Raw genomic sequence first — 20,434 nt, 5'->3', positions numbered from 1 at the left:
CCAACGAGGTCTGGGTGTTTCCTCAGCCTTCAGTTGCATTATAAAGGCCTCATCCTGTTGTAGTGGCCTGGGTATGTGGCATATGCCATAAACCAATGCTCCAAAAGTATCTCTGTGGGAGGCGGAGAGAGGGAGGTTGTAAACCACCTGTGTAGCTACAAAGGAAAAGTAATGTTGAGATGCTTTATCACCAGAAGAACTGACTTAGTTTTGGAAACTCATTCAGGGATAAAGATGAGTAGGAAATTTTTAGGTAGAGAATGAGCAAGATAGACTTTGAGACAGAGGGAATATCACATATGAAGTTTCTAAGGCAACAGACGGACAATCTGTGCCCTCCTCAGGAGACATTCGGCAATATCTGGAGGCATTTTTGATTGTCACGACAAGGTTGGGGGTAGTAATCACATATAGTTGATAGAGGCCAGGGATACTGCTAAACATCCTACAATGCACAGGACAGTGCCTTATAACAAAGAGGTATCTGCCCAATCAATGTAAATAGTATTGAGATTGAGAAACCCTGCTGTACGGCAAGAGAGTTCTTTCATAAGAGAAACAGGAGACTCATGCGACTAGCTCTTATTATCATACCAAAGGGTTGTTAAGACAGGCAGAATTTAGATCATGTAGGATTTAATTAGATTTTAATCCTAAATTCAAATGAAGTCTCTGAAGGCTTTTTATCAGAATGTGTGCGGGGGCTGGTGGTGAGGGTATAGGAGACAGGTGGAGTTGGCAAGACTTGATTTCTGTTTGCAAATGATTCTAATGGAAGTTTCAGCTGAGGCACATTGCAAAGAGAGATGCTAATGCAGAACCAGTTTGAGGACTGTTAAAGCACTCTATCAAACCAAAAATATGGAAGAGCGCCCATGGGGAGAGGGGAAAGGTTTTTAAGAGGTGTCTCTGGAGGGAGATATGCTGTCAGGTCCACTTCATCGCTCCCAGTGGGGTAACCCCTCCTAAACCAAAGTCAAAAGAGGAGGTTTAATGTCTCGCTTGGAGGTCTTAGTATCCACTGCTTTGTAGGTCATCAAGTATGAGTCACATATGAGCAAGTAAAGGTTGGGGAGCTATTGATAGTAGAGTAGGGGATTGCAGTTCGGGAAGTGTTGTGGACCCTGAGTTTGCCAGGGTGAAATTCAGCATGTGGGCTAGAGAGAGAGATTGGAAGAGGAGAAGAGAAGAGGAGAGCATGAGCTGCTCTGTGACTGTCTTAGATCTTTCAGGAAGGGCAAGGGGACCTCAGCAGAGGAAATGAGAATTAAATTGGCAGATGCCTAGGGGATAAGGATAAACTCAAAACATGCACTTGACTATGTCAGCGGACTGGTTGGGTGTAAAGGATAGGGAGAAATCTCAGAAAAATGAAAAAATGAAAAATGAAAAAATGAAAGCACGGGCCCATCAGAAAATGAATTTTAAAATATGGAAAAAGTAGAAAATACTAGTGGGAGTCATCTACCATGGTACCACTCAAGGAAGAACTATCCCTTCTCTCCTTACCTCTTCTACTGCTTGTTCTGAATTGGAGGAGTCAGAGAATATGGATAGCCAAGATAGAGCAGGAGAAAAGAAGTCCTAGGTGAGAAATGAGTGAAGAAGTTGTCCCTTCCCTTTCTTTTTCATGGGCTTTATTCTTGCATCAGCCAATAGCTAAGGCAGGGAAGTAATCTCAACTTTAAATTAGATTCAGAGCTTTGATGAGACTAGCATTTTAATTACTGAACTCAGATTTTATTTTTGGCAAAGAACTCACTGTACGGAATAAATGTAAGACAAATTTTAAAATTTTATTTACTTTATGATGGCATCTTTCTGTCATTTTTATGCAATACAACAGTTACTGTTTCACAAATAGAAACAAACAAAAATGTGGTTCCTTTCTGAAGAATAATTTGGAAGTGGAACAACTGTATTTGAAAAGACACATTAGTGAATGTTTTAAACATGTTAGGAAGCGTTACACCAAGGTAACAAACAGCCCCAAAATAACAATGACTTAAATCCACAAAGAATTATTCTCTGTCATGTTCCAAATTATTTGCAGGGGTTGCAGAGCTCTGTTTCTGTATTTATTCAAGGGTCCAAGATGACACAGTGGCCGTTAACTCGAATTTTGTCATTCAATGTGCAAGAAGGAAAGAGAATTCCAGTGAATCTCATGTGGGCAATTAACTATTCCAGACTTGAAATTACCCACATCATGTTTCCTAACACCTTATGGATCAAACGTAGAGTTGTGGCCTTATCCCCTCCATAAAATGGCCAGGAGATATACTCCCACCTTGCTCCCAGAAGGGGAAAATGGAAATATTTGTCAGATTGCATTGATTCAATAATCAAGGTAATAATAAACTGGATAATTAGTAGGACTAAAGAAGTAAAACAGATATGGATGGGCAGATTCAATGGATAAACTTGAATAAATCCTTCTAGAGCTAAAATGTTTGAAAAAATAGCCATTTATACTATTTATATATAGTTTTCCAGGAAAGTATATGAGCCCCTAAAACAAGGTGAGTAGATAAGAGTATAGATTAATAAATATAAATATAATTTATATTTAGTAACTAATCACTTTAAGAAATCATCATCTGTAATTCTTTCTGTTATACACATCTCTCATAATGATAAAGATATCAAAAAGCAAGTAGCAGCCAAGTCAAAGGATGTAAAGATATTTATCAAGGTGGTACTTTGCCATGTGTTTCTTTCACTTGTCAGCTACTTGTTGTCACAAGTGATGTACATGTGCTCCTCAACTTATGATGAGGTTAAGTTCACCATAAACCCACCATAAATTAAAAATATAGTTCCCCCCACTACGCACTCCCAAGATGGCAGATTAGAGGTAGCTTGCCTCAGCCACTTGGAGGTAGCAGGATAGTACATAAAGATCAACTATGTGAGCTTTAATTCAAGAAGGAAAAAAGGAATCAACCAGAACCATGAAGGACACCCCAGTTCCCGGGGTTGTTGGCAGACAGCTCCCGTGGTAGCATCTGGCTGATAAACGTGATTGAAGCCCGGGTAGGTGAGAGGGACAGAGAGTCTCCCTCTGTGACTCACATTTCCACTGAAGATCTGAGCAACCTAGACCAAGGAAGAGCATTTTGTTTCTCCTGAGCACTGGAACTGCCTTGGAGAGAGGCTTGGAGGCGCTGAAAGAGAAAGGCACTTGGAAAAGCTGCAGACATTTTCCCAGACTTGGGACCAAGAGCAGGAGGCCATTTTTAATCCAGGTGCATACAAAGTCAGTCATTCTTTGGAGACCCAGCAGCATGGCCATGGAGGCATTTTAGTCTCATGCCAGAGATTGGCATGCCTGCTCTGGAGTGAAGTAGGAGCCTCCACAGCCAGAACTGTGGAAAATACCTCAGCAGTAGGTGCTGGAATTGTGCTCTCCCTCATTGCTAAGTAATGTCAATGTAAAATTTCAAACTATAAGAATCCTAGAAGGAAATCTAGGAAACATCGGCCTTGGGAAAGAATTTATGACTCAGTCCTCAAAGGTGATGGCAACAAAAGCAAAAATTATCAAGTGGGACCTAATTAAACTAAAGAGCTTCTGCCTAGCAAAAGAAACTATCAACCTACAGGATGGGAGTAAATAGACAACATACAGGATGGGAGAAAATATTTACAAACTATGCATCTGACAAAGGTCTAATATTTTGAACACATAAGGAAACAAAACAATTTAACAAGTAAAAAACAAAACTATTTAACAAGCAAAAGACATGAACAAACACTTCTCAAAAGAAACCATATAAGCTGCCAACAAACATGAAAAATTACTCAACATCACTAATCATCAGAGAAATGCAAATCAAAACCACAGTGAGATACTATTTCACACCAATCAGAATGGCTATAATTAAAAAGTCAAAAAGCAACAGATGCTGGTGAGGCTGCAGAGAAAAGGGAATGCTTGCTTATACACTGCTGGTGGGAATGTAAATTAGTTCATCCACTGTGGAAAGCAGCTTGGAGATTTCTCAAAGAACTTAAAACAGAATACCATTCAACCCAGCAATCTCATTACTGGGTATATATCCAAAAGAAAATAAATGATTCTACCAAAAAGACACCTGCACTCATATGTTCGTTGTAGCACTATTCACACTAGCCAAGACATGGAATCAACCTAGGTGCCCATCTGTGGTGGATTGGATCAAGAAAATGTGTTATATATATATATGCCAAGGAATACTATGCAGTGATAAAAAGAATGAAATCATGTCATTTGCAGCAATATATATGTAGCTGGAGGTCATTGTCCTAACTAAATTAACTGAGGAACAGAAAACCAAATACCACATGTTCTCACTTATAAGTAAGAGCTAAACATTGGGTACCCATGGACAAACATGGCAACAATAGACATTGGAGACTACTAGAACATGGAGAGAAGATCAGGGACAAGAGTTGAAAAACTATTGAGTACTATGCTCACTACCTGGGTGACAGGATCATTTTTATCTCAAACTTCAGCTTCATGCAATATACCCATGTAACAGACATCCACGTGCCCTCCCTGAATCTAAAATAAAAGTTGAAATTATCTTTTAAAACTCACTTACAAGGGAAGTGAAGGACCTCTTCAAGGATAATTACAAACTACTGCTCAAGAAAATAAGAGAAGACACAAACAAATGGAAAAACATTCCATGCTCACGGATAGGAAGAATCAATATCATGAAAATGGCCATACTGCCCAAAGTAATTTATAGATTCAGTGTTATCTCCATCAAGCTACCGCTGACTTTCTTCACAGAATTAGAAAAAAACACTTTAAATTTCATATGGAACCAAAAAGAGCCCCTATAGCCCAGACAATTCTAAGCAAAAATAACAAAGCTAGAGGCATCACACTACCTGACTTCAAACTATACTACAAGGCTACAGTAACCAAAACAGCATATATAGACCAATGGAACACAACAGAGGCCTCGGAAATAATGCCACACATCTACAACCATCTGATCTTTGACAAACCTGACAAAAACAAGGAATGGGGAAAGGATTCCCTATTTAATATATGGTGTTGGGAAAGCTGGCTGGTCATATGCAGAAAACTGAAACTGGACCCCTTCCTTACACCTTATACAAAAATTAACTCAAGATGGATTAAAGACTTAAACATAAGACCTAAAACCATAAAAGCCCTAGAAGAAAACCTAGGCAATACCATTCAGAACATAGGCATGGACAAAGCCTTCACGACTAAAACACCAAAAGCAATGGCAACAGAAGCCAAAATTGACAAATGGGATCTAATGAAATGAAACAGCTTCTGCACAGCAAAAGAAACTATAATCAGATAGTTCTTTTCAGATAGATATGTGTGCATTTACATAATTTTACAGAATGGGATAAAATTTCTGCAGTCTATCCATCTGACAAATGGCTGATATCCAGAATCTACAAGGAACTTAAACGAATTTACTAGAAAAAAACAAACAACCACATCAAAAAGTGGATGAAGGATATGAACAGACACTTCTCAAAAGAGGACATTTATGTGGCCAACAAACATATAAAAAAAGATAATCATCACTGGTCATTACAGAAATGCAAATCAAAACCACAATGGGATACCATCTCATGCCAGTTAGAATGGCGATCATTAAATAGTCAGGAAGCAACAGATGCTGGAGAGGATGTGGAGAAATAGGAACACTTTTACAATATTGGTGGGAGTGTAAATTAGTTCAACCACTGTGGAAGACAATGTGGCAATTCCTCAACGATCTAGAACCAGAAATACCATTTGACCCAGTAATCCCACTACTAGGTATATACTCAAAGGATTATAAATCATTCTACTATAAACACACATGCACACATATGTTTATTGCAGCACTGTTCACAATAGCAAAGACTTGAAACCAACCCAAATGCCCATCAATGATAGACTGGATAAAGAAAATATGGCCCATATACACCATGGAATACTATGCAGCCACGAAAAAGGATGAGTTTATGTCCTTTGCAGGGACATGGATGAAGCTGGAAATCATCATTCTCAGAAAACTAACACAGGAACAGAAAATCAAACACCGCATGTTCTCACTCATAATTGGGAGTTAAACAATGAGAATACATGGACACAGGGAGGGAAACATCACACACTGGGGTCTGTCGGGGGTGGGGTGCTAGGGGAGGGATAGCATTAGGAGAAATACCAAATGTAGATGGGGGGTTGATGAGTGCAGCAAACCACCATGGCACATGTATACCTATGTAACAAACCTGCACCTTCTGCACATGTATCCCAGAAATTGAAAAACAAAAACAACAACAAAACACAGCACCACTGTCCAGAACTTCTTTCTCTTTCTCTTTCACAGAAATCGGATCTGCATGATGGTCTGAGGGCTCTCCCGGGCTCTTCCTGTGCCTACCTACTTTTCCCTCACAAGCGTTTTCCCTAATAAATTATCTTGCGTATCTAATCACATTTGGGTTGCATCTCATTGAGTAAAAACTAACATACAAGGCTTGATTCTTTGCACTTAGCTTTTTTTCTCTCTCTCCCACATGTATTCAGTAACTTTGTCGTAGTGTTTTCTGTGTTACCTCTTTTTCTTTATATCTGTTTGTGTATTTACATACACTACCTTTTTCATACACACACACACACACACACACACAGAGAAAATACCGTTTGCATCTGTTTCTTCATTTCTGTTGCAACCATTTACTTTTAGCTCTTACCAGTCAACTCAAGCTGATGATTAATGCTAATGTTGGCTATTGTTAGTGGGCACTTTCTGTGTGCCACGCCTAGTGCTAAATACTTTACCTATATCTCATTTGATTCATAAAATCACCCTAAAAAAATCTGGATGAGTTGGTGGAACACAGAGGATTTTTAAAGCAGTGAAATTATTCTGTGTGATACTATAAAGGTGAATACCTGTCATTATACAGTTATCAAAACCCACAGAATGTATAACACCAAGAGTGAACTCTAATGAAAACTCTGGATTTGGGGTGATAATTATGTGTCAGTGTAGGTCCATCAATTATAATAAACGTACCACTCTGGTATAAGGTTTTGATGGTGGGGGGACTGTGCATATGTGGGGGTAGGGAGTATATGGGAACTCTATATATGTTCTGCACAATTTTGCTGTGAACCTAGAACTGCTCCAAATAAAATGAATTCTATTTAAAAATTAAAATTAAAAAAAGAAAATATCATGTCAAAAATGCATTTAATATATGATATGGTTTTGCTCTGTGTCCCCACCCAAATCTCATCTCAAATTGTAATCCCCATAATCCCCACGTATCAAGTAGGAACCTGGTGGGCGGTGAATGGATCATGCTGGTGGTTTCTCCCATGCTGTTCTGGTGATAGTGAGTCCTCACGAGATCTGAAGTTTTAACAGTGTTTGGCAGTTTCCCCTGTTCTGTCTCTCCTGCCACCCTGTGACAAAGGTGCTTGCTTCCCTTTCACCTTTCCACCATGATTATAAGTTTCTTCCAAGCCATGTGGAACTGTGAGTCCATTAAACCTCTTTCCTTTATAAATTACCCAGTCTTGGGTATTTCTTAAGAGCAGTGTGAAAACAGACTAATATAATATACCTAACATCATATAAGCATCGTAGCTTAGCCTAGTGTATTAGTCCATTCTCATACTGCTAATAAAGACATACCTGAGACTGGGTAATTTACAAAGGAAAGAGGTTTAATGGACTCACAGTTCCATGTGGCTGGGGAGGCCTCACGACCGTGGCGGAAAGTGAAGGAAGAGCAAAGGAACATCTTACATGGCATCAGGCAAGAGTGTGTGCAGGGGATCTCCCCTTTATGAAACCATCAGATCTCGTGAGACTTATTCATTAACAGGAGAACAGCATGGGAAAAAACCCGCCCTCATGATTCAATTGCCTGTCACTGGATCCCTCTCACCACACATGGGAATTACGGGAGCTACAATTCAAGATGAGATTTGGGTGAGGACACAGCCAAACCATATCACCTAGCCTGCCTTAAACATGCTCAGAACACTTACATTAGCCTACAGTTGGGCAAGATTATCTGGAAACACAGTACACTATAGACTATCATTTGTTTACCCTCAAGATAGCGTGGCTGGGAGCTGAGGTTCACTGCTACTGCCTGGCATCGCAAGAGAGTATTGCACCGCATGTCTCTAGCCTGGGAAAGGATCAAAATTCAAAACCTGAAGTGTAGTGTTTGTTGAATGTGCACTGCTTTCACACCATTGTAGACTATGAAAATCACAAGTTGAGCCATGTAAATTGGAGACCATTGTCCTTACACTACAGGCTATAACGCAAGTTATAGGTTTCTTCGTATTTTGTTATTAATTAATTTTCTACAATTTTGACACAATAAAGTATATAATTAAGAACGTATGTTCCTTTGCAGAGAAAATCTTTGAAGAAAATTGAAGCTCAAATCTGATACTTAGCTTTTACTAGCATCTATATTTAATATTAATTTTTCTTTAAAAACATGCCTAATTATAATATTAGATGCCATAAAATCCCTTCTCAGTTCATCTTATGTGTTGAATTGAGAATCGATTGGATTTGGCTTCAGGTGCAATAATTTGCATTACGAAACAAAGATTTGTCAATTTTTTTGTCATGTATTAAGATAAATGAAAGAGAAGAAAGCAGTAAATGTGAAAGTAATGTGTTGTAGGATGCGCATACACATGTTCCTCTCACTAACAGCATGTTAGCTTCCCATAGGTCAAATGCCAACACATTCAGGATACAGCAATGTCAGTTTGCCTGGGGCAGGAGTATGCATTAACTAGCTTCTGAGGGTTAAAACCCACTCATCAGATGTAAGCAACTCTAATTTTGTGAATTCTGATTAGTACTGCATAACATTACCTGAATACAACTCTATATATCATGTCCAGAAATATACACTGAATGGTAAAATTTGTCTGTCTTCTCAGTTTTAAATGAAAAGATTCATTATTTTGTTTTATGTGGATTTCATGTGGATATATGAAAACACAGTTTAAAATTGTAATCTAGCATGATAAACTCTGGTATTGATTAACTTTTTGGATAAGAAATAAAAAACAGTCTACATCTAAAGTCTGTTATGTATGATGAATTCCACCTAAGATCTTTGTTAATTTCTCAGTTTGCAAATACAACTATAGTCAGAAATTCTGACCTGGATTTACACAGTCCTGGGTACTATTAATGGATTTCAAGACTGTAAAACTCCTGAAATTTTAGCCATATTTCTGCACATATATATCATGTGTTTATATCAGGGCAGACGGTTCACACCTGTCATCAAATTCTTCAAGTATCTGTGATCCACAGAAAATTAAAAACTGCTGCTCTAAGTATTAATATTTACCTAATACAATTTATAAAGCTATTTACAGACTAATTGGCTCTAGCAACCAGATTTCTTTTTTGTGCTAATTATATTTTTTTACAGAAAACAAATGAAAATAAAAGGCTTATTAACACTTGACTAAGATTTCTGCATTCATGGAAACAAGTAGAGAATAATGAGGCTAAGTGAAGTGTGGCATGGTATAGAACTTAGGTTGGTTCAAGAGTTAATAGAGATATCATACCTCTTCTTTACCAGGTCTTTGCTTTGATATGATTTGCCAGTGGCTAAAAATATAATGATTAATAATTACGAGATAGATATGATCTATGTATTATACTAGCGTATAGAAAAAGGAAATTATTTTGTCAAGTCCTTAGACTTGCATCATTTTGTGACAGGATTTGAATTTATACTGTCGGTTCTGGGCTGTCCCTTCTCCTTCTAACTCTGTTCTGATTCTTTTACATATATCACTCCAACAATGAGTGAGCAAGACGTGAAGTTAAGGATTATAATTACTGAGAGACAAAAACTCTTAGAAGATATAGGTACATTTATTGACTCTCAGAAGACAAATTCTGGTACAAATTCTACTGCATTAAGACTTGGCTTCCTCCTCCACTGGAGAAAAAAATTCTGCAAAACTTTTCTGCCCTAAAAGTAGGATTCCACAATTAATAAATTTATTCTCATTATTCATTCTCCAAATATCAAGTACTTATAAGGACAAACCACTGTGGAGGCGATAAAAATTAAACTGGAATGAAGAGCCCCTACCCCCAAGATGTTGACTATCTAGGAGGACGTAAAAAACCATAAGTGATCATAATATTTGAAAGTGGTAAGTTTCAAAAGAAAAGTAGAGATTTGATGTTTACAGCCAGTGTCATAATGTGGTATTAGGCCTACCAAATATATTCACTTATGTGACACGTTTGCAGATGGTGACCTTCTATATGATAATTTTGGTGCATTTCCTTAGAAAATTCTGTTTTTCTGAGGTCTGTTGCTCCACGACTTTTGGTTCTTGAGATTTATGCTCCTGTGCAGTCTGGGCCTGAGCTTCATTAGCACCTGATTTACCATGAGTGCAGATGGTTATTGGAAATAAAAAGTCAGCCATTTCCTATGATTAAATCTCTCATGGGCGGCATCTCCCTCTTAGCTATTTCCTTACTATTGCATATGATTCATTTGCAAGCAGAACAGTGATTATTATATGATTGTTAAATCTAAAGTGGAAAGGAAAGTAGAATATTAGAAAAAGTCTAGTAGCTTATTAATATATATTATGTGCTACAATGAAAATGATTTTACCTAAGTATTAGCAAGATGATAGATTTATGGATGATGAGAGAAAATTACTCTATTGTGACGATTGAATGTAACAAAAAGAATACAGATTTTCTCTTCTTTTCCCTCCCTTCCTTCGTTCCTTCCTTCCTTCCTTCCTTTCTTCCTTCTTTCTTTTTTTTTCCTTTGCTTTCCCTGTTTGAAGGAGTTATTGTTTAAGCCAGTAATCCCCAAAAATGCCTCCTCATTTTGGTCACTTGCCAGCACTTCTGGGCAATAATTTTATTGTGAGTCTTGCAGGCAAAGGAAGGGAATTTCAGGGTTGTTCATTGCTATGTCTGTATTTTTGGAGCTTAGAGGAAAGCAAATCTTGTTTTTAACAGAACTATGCATTAGTTGTTTTTTTTATTGGAAATAATTGTTATTTTTTCACTTGGCACATTTATGAGAATAATAGTAGTGTCAGAAAAATTTCGTCACTTTCAAAATTTTGCATATTCTTTGTATTGTACTGAGTCAATAAAGTCGGTGGCCACACAGTACCGAGCTGACCTGTACTATAGAAACTTGTTGATTTGCCTGGTTATATACAGTGTTTAATTGACCTATCATATTTCTTTTCTTCTATGTTAAAGTCTAATTGTTCAATTGAAAGACAGTCACAATTACCAAAGCTCATTTCTCTCTAATTCATTTTCATTATTAGATTTATTTAGGTTACTTAGTTTCCACTCTAAGAGTGTAGATATGAAAGAAGCCTTAGTAATGAAATTTAAGCACTGCCTCTGCTGATATTTTGGAGCATGTTTTGCTTCTATTTCCTGAATGCTCTTGTAGCAAATAATTGCTCAAAAAGATAAAATGCACATACACAAAGAAACCCAAATTTTCTTTTTCTTTTTTTAATATAAGAGCTGCTACTAACTGTATCCTCCATATATCAAATATGCTACACAGCTAAATACCTAACCGTAACCCACTAGCACAATCTTATCTCTTCATAAGCTAACCCTCTATCGCAGGCTCAAATGCCTTCTTTCTATTGGTTTCTGGTATCTGCTGCTTTCTCCGACAGGGACTTTGCACTTAAAGTCACCTGTACCAGAAATGTGCTTCCCTCTAGGAATCACAATCTCTCATAAAATATTTTTACTTTTCTTTCTTTTATTTGCTACCATAGCAATTTCACAATATTTGTGTGAATACTTGAACAGTTCGTGTCTTTTCTGCTATACAATATGATAGAGACTATAGGCAAAGATTATGAAAGCTTTTGCTGAATTTTGCATAGGTGGTATTTAGCACAGTGTCTGGTATATACGTTTATGTGTCTTTTATCTATTTGTTCTTAGCACACCAGACTAACACTTAGTGGCTTTAATCAGCAATAAGTTACTGTTTCTCATATTTCTGTCAATTAGTCTGGCAGTTTTTTAGCAACAGTAATCTGGTGGATGAGCTGGAGGCGAAGCCCAGCCAGGATACTGTGTCTCCCTCTCCTAGTGGTTTTCCATCCTGGGCTTATTAACATGGAGGTCTCATGACAATGCTCCAAGAGGGGGAAGGTGGCATTTATGAACCCCATGAAGCCTAGGATCCAGAGCTTATGCATCACTTCTGTAATGTTCCATGAGTCAAAATAAGTCACAAGGTTGGTCCTGATTCAAGAGGGCCTAGAAAGAGATTCATGTCTAGAAGGGAGAAGCAGCAGCACAGTCTCACTGCATAGAAGGAAGCTTACAGGAATGGGAAGAACTCGTGCCCGTTAAACAGTCTACCACTGTATTAAACAGTACATTGTAATACATTAATATGCATGTAATACAATACAAAATAATATAATAATATCAATGTAATTGTCATTTAATTATAAAACTTAGTCCAGAAATTGACTAGATTAACTGTTCCATGTTTTGTTGCATTTTTTTTGGGTTTTTATTGTATATACACTCTAAGAATGAGAAGAGGTGGAGAGAGTGGTATATTAATTCTAAGTTATATAAGCAATCTAATCTCACATTTAGATAAATAAAAATTATAAGCAATATGAGGGCAGAAACTTTATATATTTCAATTATTGATGAATTTCTGGCAACTAGAATAGTGCTTCATGCATAACAGGTATTCATTAAATACTTGTTGAATGAATGAATTAATGAGCAAAAATAATAGGCATTATTTTCTGTGGTCTTCCCTTTTATGTTCATTGGGAAGTTGTCATTTGTTCTCATCTGTCTCAAATGATTAAATTCCAAATTTTTAGAGAAATGGCTAAATAAGAAATAGAGGTCCTGCTCGCATATGTTGTTCAATGAATTCTTGATAATCAACTGCCATAATGTAAGGACACTAAAACTTATAGGTAAGAACAGTCTTTATGATTTATTTTATGAACATTTGATCACCCACTAAACGGAGCCTCCAGGAGATTTTGCTTTCTTATTGATTGGTACAAAACGACAGTAATATATTTTCCCTAATCTCTGTAATCTGTTCAGTATAGAAAGCGTATCTAAATGAGTCACTAACCTAAATGAGTGACCGTAAATATCCAATAATATTCAGAATTTGATTTCAATACTGTATCTAGATTCAGACTGCAGTACTATTTCTCTGGACAAGAGTCTCACTTTGTTCTGACTCATGTAAAAATACAGGTCTTTTTAAAATTTAAATCTGGTAAATGAATGCTACATGTTGCTAGTATTTTAATATAGGAAAAAAGGGTGATTTGGCTATTTGTTGATGGTAATGCAAATTGAAACAAGTTTTATCTTGTAAAAATATTCCCAATTGGAATTCGTCTCCATTTATTATCTGTTTATATGGACATAATTTTAAATAGGAGAAAATGGTATAAAGGTAGGCACATTTTAAAAATAGTAGATAATATTGGAGAGAAAAAGAGAGGGGATGTTTCCTTTACGTACATCTTAGAATTATCTAACATGTACTTGAATGTACTGGCAAAATGATTAATCCCCAAATGACAATTCCTACATCTGTCAATTAGTTTATGTACAAGTCAGCTTGAATATTTTATATAAATTATAGCATCATGACTGGCAACAAAAACAGATCATGATATTTCAGGGAGTCATCTGAGTCCCTCAAGATGTAAATCCATGACAAAAATGCAATCTAAATAATAATTGATTTACTGATTTATGTGTTAAACTATAGAATTATTCAATTTGATTAAAAATATCAATATTTTCAATATAATTCAAGTAGCCCGATTCTTATTTCTTATCATTTTTATACAAGATAATTAATGTGTATGTAAAACCACTCTTCCATAGCATTAGAAAAAGGAGAACTGTTCTGTTTTTTCTGTTTCTAGCATGAGAGAAGTTTTAAGGTGATTGGCATTTTCAAAATGCAAAGTTATGCTTCTTGTTACAGAATTGGAAAAAGACTGCTGATGTGTGAAGAAAAACAAAAGGTAAAAAACACTTAACTAATTTTCAGAGAATAGAAACAAGTTTTATTAGAAGTATTTTTTTTAAGTTGTGAAGCTGTGGTAGTCTTCACAGAATATAGGTAAGGGAAATAATGTGTGAAGGAACTAGAGAGGTGTAATTTTTTTCTCGATTTTTGCAAGTTTTACAAAATATAGCATCTAAAAATTGGTTAGGAAAAACATATGTAATATGTTCTAATGTTACATAATTACTGATTTAAAATTCTTCTATACCACTGAAGATAATTGAAAAGTATTAACTGGCCTTTCAGTGATGAAAGCAAATGTGTTTTTCCAAAATATATGTATACTCCTTTTTTCTCACATGTTGAACTCCCTATGTTGCATTTTGAGATTGCTTTGCCTAGTGATTTGGGGTGTCATTCATATTTGAATATGCCAAGCAAATATTATTAAACAGGGTTATCTAGTTTAATAATCTGAGTCCACTTCAGATATTTGTTAGATGCCCAAAGTTACCAATTAATGTCTATTCTAGTTGTAAAAAGTTGCCCATCATTCAGGATGGGAAATCTGAGCTGTCTTTGAAGTCTACTGCAACACCTACATTAAATTAACTTCCCTGAAACTTAGTAGGTGCTCCTTAAATATATGTTGAACTCTATTAAAACTAATGAGCTTTATATTCTTTATATATATATATATATACTTTAAGTTCTAGGGTACATGTGCACAACGTATTACATAGGTATACATGTGCCATGTTAGCTTGCTGCACCCATTAACTCGTCACTTACATTCGGTATTTCTCCTAAAGCTATCTCTCCCCCAGCCCCCAACCCCACGACAGGCCCCAGTGTGTGATATTCCTCTCCCTGTGTCCAAGTGTTCTCATTGTTCAATTCCCACCTGTGAGTGAGAACATGTGGTGTTTGGTTTTCTGTCCTTGTGATAGTTTACTGAGAATGATGGTTTCCAGCTTCATCCATGACCCTGCAAAGGACATGAACTCATCCTTTTTTATGGCTGTATAGTATTCCATGGTGTATATGTGCCACATTTTCTTAATCCAGTCTATCACTGAAGGACATTTGGGTTGGTTCCAAGTCTTTGTATTGTGAATAGTGCCGCAATAAACATACCTGTGCATGTGTCTTTATCGTAGCATGATTTATAATCCTTTGGGTATATATCTAGTAATGGGATCGCTGCATCAAACGGTATTTCTAGTGCTAGATCCTTGAGGAATTGCCACACTGTCTTCCACAAGAGTTGAACTAATTTACACTCCCACCACCAGTGTAAAAGCATTCCTGTTTCTCCACGTCCTCTCCAGCATCTGTTGTTTCCTGACTTTTTAATGATCACTATTCTAACAGTGTGAGATGGTATCTCATTGTGGTTTTGATTTGCATTTCTCTGATGACCAGTGATGAGCATTTTTTCATGTGTCTGTTGGCTGTATAAATGTCTTCTTTTTAGAAGTGTCTGTTCATATCCTTTGCCCACTTTTTGATGGGGTTGTTTGCTTTTTATCTTGAAAATTTCTTTAAGTTCTTTGTAGATTCTGAATATTAGCCCTTTGTCAGATGGGTAGATTGCAAAACTTTTCTCCCATTCTGTAGGTTGCCTGTTCACTCTGATGGTAGTTTCTTTTGCTGTGCAGAAGCTCTTTAGTTTAATTAGATCCCACTTTCAATTTTGGCTTTTGTTGCCATTGCTTTGGTGGTTTAGTCATGAAGTCCTTGCCCATGCCTATGTCCAGAATGGTATTGCCTAGGTTTTCTTCTAGGGTTTTTATGGTTTCAGGTCTAACATTTAAGTCTTTAATCCATCTTGAATTAATTTTTGTATAAGGTGTAAGGAAGGGATCCAGTTTCCGCTTTCTCCATATGGCTAGCCAGTTTTCCCAGCGCCGTTTATTAAATAAGGAATCCTTTCACCATTGCTTGTTTTTGTCAGGTTTGTCAAAGATCAGTTGGTTGTAGATGTGTGGCATTATTTCTCAGGCCTCTGTTCTGTTCCGTTGTTCTATATACATATATATATATATATCTGTTTTGGTACCAGTACCATGCTGTTTTGGTTACTGTGGCCTTGTAGTATAGTTTGAAGTCAGGTAGCCTGATGCTTCCAGCTTTGTTCTTTTTGCTTAGGATGGATTGTCTTTGCAAGGCAGGCTCTTTTTTGGTCCCATATGAACTTTAAGGTAGTTTTTTTCCAATTCTGTGAAGAAAGTCATTGGTAGCTTGATGGGGATGGCATTGAATCTATAAATTACCTTGGGCAGTGTGGTCATTTTCACGATTCTTCTTATCCATGAGCATGGAATGTTCTTCCATTTGTTTGTGACCTCTTTTATTTCATTGAACAGCGGTTTGTAGTTCTCCTTGAAGAGGTCCTTCCCATCCCTTGTAAGTTGGATTCCTAGGCATTTTATTCTCTTTGTAGCAATTGTTAATGGGAGTTCACTCATGATTTGGCTCTGTTTGTCTGTTATTGGTGTATAGGAATGCTTGTGATTTTTGTGCATTGATTTTGTATCATGAGACTTTGCTGAAGTTGCTTATCAGCTTAAGAAGATTTTGGGCTGAGACGATGGGGTTTTCTAAATATACAATCATGTCATCCGCAAACAGGGAAAATTTGACTTCTTATTTTCCTTATTGAATATGGCTAACTAGAATAAGCAATGCAGAGAAGACTTTAAATGACCTGATGGAGCTGAAAACCATGGCACGAGAACTACGTGAGGCATGCACAAGCTTCAATAGCCGATTCGATCAAGTGGAAGAAAGGGTATCGGTGATTGAAGATCAAATTACTGAAATAAAGCAGGAAGTTTAGACAAAAAAGGAGTAAAAAGAAATGAACAAAGCCTCCAAGAAATATGGGACTATGTGAAAAGACCAAATCTACATTTGACTGGTGTACCTGAAAGTGACGGGGAGAATGAAACCAAGTTGGAAAACATTCTTCAGGATATTATCCAGGAGAAGTTCCCCAAACTAGCAAGGCAGGCCAACATTCAAATTCAGGAAATACAGAGACCACCACAAAGATACTCCTTGAGAAGAGCAACCCCAAGACACATAATTGTCAGATTCACCAAGGTTGAAATGAAGGAAAAAATGTAAAGGGCAGCCAGAGAGAAAGGTCGGGTTACCCACAAAGGGAAGCCCATCAGACTAACAGCAGATCTCTCTGCAGAAACTCTACAAGCCAGAGTAGGGGCCAATATTCAATATTCTTAAGGAAAAGAATTTTCAACCCAGAATTTCATATCCAGCCAAACTAAGCTTCATAAGTGAAGGAGAAATAAAATCCTTTACACACAAGCAAATGCTGAGAGATTTTGCCACCACCAAGCCTGCCTTACAAGAGTTCCTGAAGGAAGCACTAAACACGGAAAGGAACAACCGGTATCAGCCACTGCAAAAACATGTCAAATTATAAAGACCATCAATGCTATGAAGAAACTGCATCAACTAACGGGCAAAATAACCAGCTAACATCATAATGACAGGATCAAATTCACACATAACAATATTAACCTTAAATGTAAATGGTTTAAATGCCCCAATTAAAAGACACAGACTGGAAAATCGGATAAAGAGTCAAGACCCATTGGTATGCTGTATTCAGGAGACCCATCTCACGTGCAAAGATATACATAGGCTCAAAATAAAGGGATGGAGGAAGATCTACCAAGCAAATGGAAAGCAAAGTAAAGCAGGGGTTGCAATCCTAGTCTCTGATAAAACAGACTTTAAACCAACAAAGATCAAAAGAGACAAAGAAGGCCATTACGTAATGGTAAAGGGATCAATTCAACAAGAAGAGCTAACTATCCTAAATATATATGCACCCAATACAGGAGCACCCAGATTCATAAAGCAAGTCCTTAGAGACCCACAAAGGGACTTAGACTCCCACACAATAATAATGGGAGACATTAACACCCCACTGTCAATATTAGACAGATCAGTGAGACAGAAGGTTAACAAGGATATCCAGGACATGAACTCAGTTCTGCACCAAGCAGACCTAATAGACATCCACAGAACTCTGCACCCCAAATCAACAGAATATACATTCTTCTCAGCACCATATTGCACTTATTCCAAAATTGACCACATAGTTGGAAGTAAAGCACTCCTCAGCAAATGTAAAAGAACAGAAATAACAAACTGTCTTTCAGACCACAGTGCAATGAAATTAGAACTCAGGATTAAGAAACTCACTCAAAACTGCACAACTACAGGGAAACTGAACAACCTGCTCCTGAATGGCTACTGGGTAAATAATAAAATGAAGGCAGAAATAAAGATGTTCTTTGAAACCAATGAGAACAAAGACACAACATACCAGAATCTCTGGGACACATTTAAAGCAGTGTGTAGACGGAAATTTATAGCACTAAATTCCCACAAGAGAAAGCAGGAAAGATCTAAAATCCACACCCTAACATCATAATTAAAAGAACTAGAGAAGCAAGCCCGGGCGTGGTGGCTCACGCCTGTAATCCCAGCACTTTGGGAGGCTGAGGTGGGCTGATCACGAGGTCAGGAGATTGAGACCATCCTGGCTAACACAATGAAACCCATCTCTACTAAAAATACAAAAAATTAGCTGGGCGTGGTTGCAGGCACCTGTAGTCCCAGCTACTCGGGAGGCTGAGGCAAGAGAATGGCATAAACCCGGAAGGCGGAGCTTGCAGTGAGCCGAGATCGTGCCACTGCACTCCAGCCTGGGCAATAGAGCGAGACTCCGTCTCAAAAAAAAAAAAAAAAAAAAAAAAAAAGAACTAGAGAAGCAAGAGCAAACAAATTGGAAAGCTAACAGAAGGCAAGAAACAACTAAGATCAGGGCAGAACTGAAGGAGATAGAGAGTCAAAAAACCCCTCAAAAAATAAATGAATCCAGGAACTGGATTTTGAAAAGATCAACAAAATTGATAGACCGCTAGAAAGACTAATAAAGAAGAAAAGAGGAAAGAATCAAATAGATGCAATAAAAAATGATAAAGAGGATATCACCACTGATCCCACAGAAATACAAACTACCATCAGAGAATACTATAAATACCTCTATGCAAATAAACTAGAAAATCTAGAAGAAATGGATAAATTCCTGGACACATGCACCCTCCCAAGACTAAACCAGGAATAAGTCAAATCCGTGAATAGACAAATAGCAAGTTCTGAAATTGAGGCAGTAATTAATAGCCTACCAACCAAAAAAAGTCCAGGACCAGCTGGATTCACAGCCGAATTCTACCAGAGGTACGAGGAGGAGCTGGTACCATTCCTTCTGAAACTATTCCAATCAACAGAGAAAGAGGGAGTCTTCCCTAACTCATTTTATGAGGCCAGCATCATCCTGATACCGAAGCCTGGCAGAGACACAACAAAAAAAAAGAATTTTAGACCAATATCCCTGATGAAGATCGATGCAAAAGTCCTCAATAAAATACTGGCAAACCAAATCCAGCAGCACATCAAAAAGCTTATCCACCATGATCAAGTTGGCTTCATCCCTGGGATGCAAGGCTGGTTCAACATACACAAATCAATAAATTAATCCATCACATAAACAGAACCAACGACAAAAACCACATGATTATCTCAGTAGATGCAGAAAAGGCCTTTAACAAAATTCAACAGCCCTTCATGCTAAAAACTCTCAATAAACTAGGTATTGATGGAACATATCTCAAAATAGTAGGAGCAATTTATGACACATCCACAGCCAATATCATACTGAATGAGCAAAAACTGGAAGCATTCCCTTTGAAAACCAGCACAAGACAGGGATGCCTTCTCTCACCACTCCTATTCAACATAGTGTTGGAAGTTCTGGCCAGGGCAATCAGGCAAGAGAAAGAAATGAACTTTATATTCTTATATTCTCACACCTGTGCTTAAACAATTGATTGACTTAATGGATTCAATAAAGACCACTAAATAGGATGGGGGGTTGGTGGAGAAAGAGAGAGAGGGAGGGAGGGGGAGAGAGGGAGAGAGCCAAGAAAGTCAACTGGTGAATGGCAGAAAGAGGATGGGGGAACAAGCAATTCTTCTGCTATTTGCTGTCTAGCTCAACATAGTCAACTAGTATAATCCAGCTAGTTGTTTCTGCTGCCTAGGAAGGTTATTCGGGTTTTCCAGTGGGCACTACCTTGATTATGTGATCATCCATAGTCCAGAGTCTCACTCTCATCTTGGCAAATGGGGAAACATAATTGAATCATGACACCCAGAAATGGTCAGGCTCTTATTCACTTGCTCAACTTTATCTACTATAAAATTTATATACCACTTAATATATAGGGGAGGTGATGATAATTCCTTT

General features: G+C 37.4%; 1 protein-coding gene across 22 annotated transcripts in view; it reads left to right on the top strand.

Annotated features, from left to right (window-relative positions):
- The window catches only part of DGKB (diacylglycerol kinase beta), an 829,810-nt gene that overhangs the window by 599,622 nt on the left and 209,754 nt on the right, over positions 1 to 20,434 (top strand). The gene's annotated exons all lie outside the window — the stretch shown is intronic.

Source organism: Homo sapiens, chromosome 7 (genome assembly GCF_000001405.40).
Source record: "Homo sapiens chromosome 7, GRCh38.p14 Primary Assembly".
Taxonomy (NCBI): Eukaryota; Metazoa; Chordata; class Mammalia; order Primates; family Hominidae; genus Homo; species Homo sapiens.
Note: the sequence above shows the minus strand (reverse complement) of the source record. Positions and strands in the feature narration are given on the sequence as shown.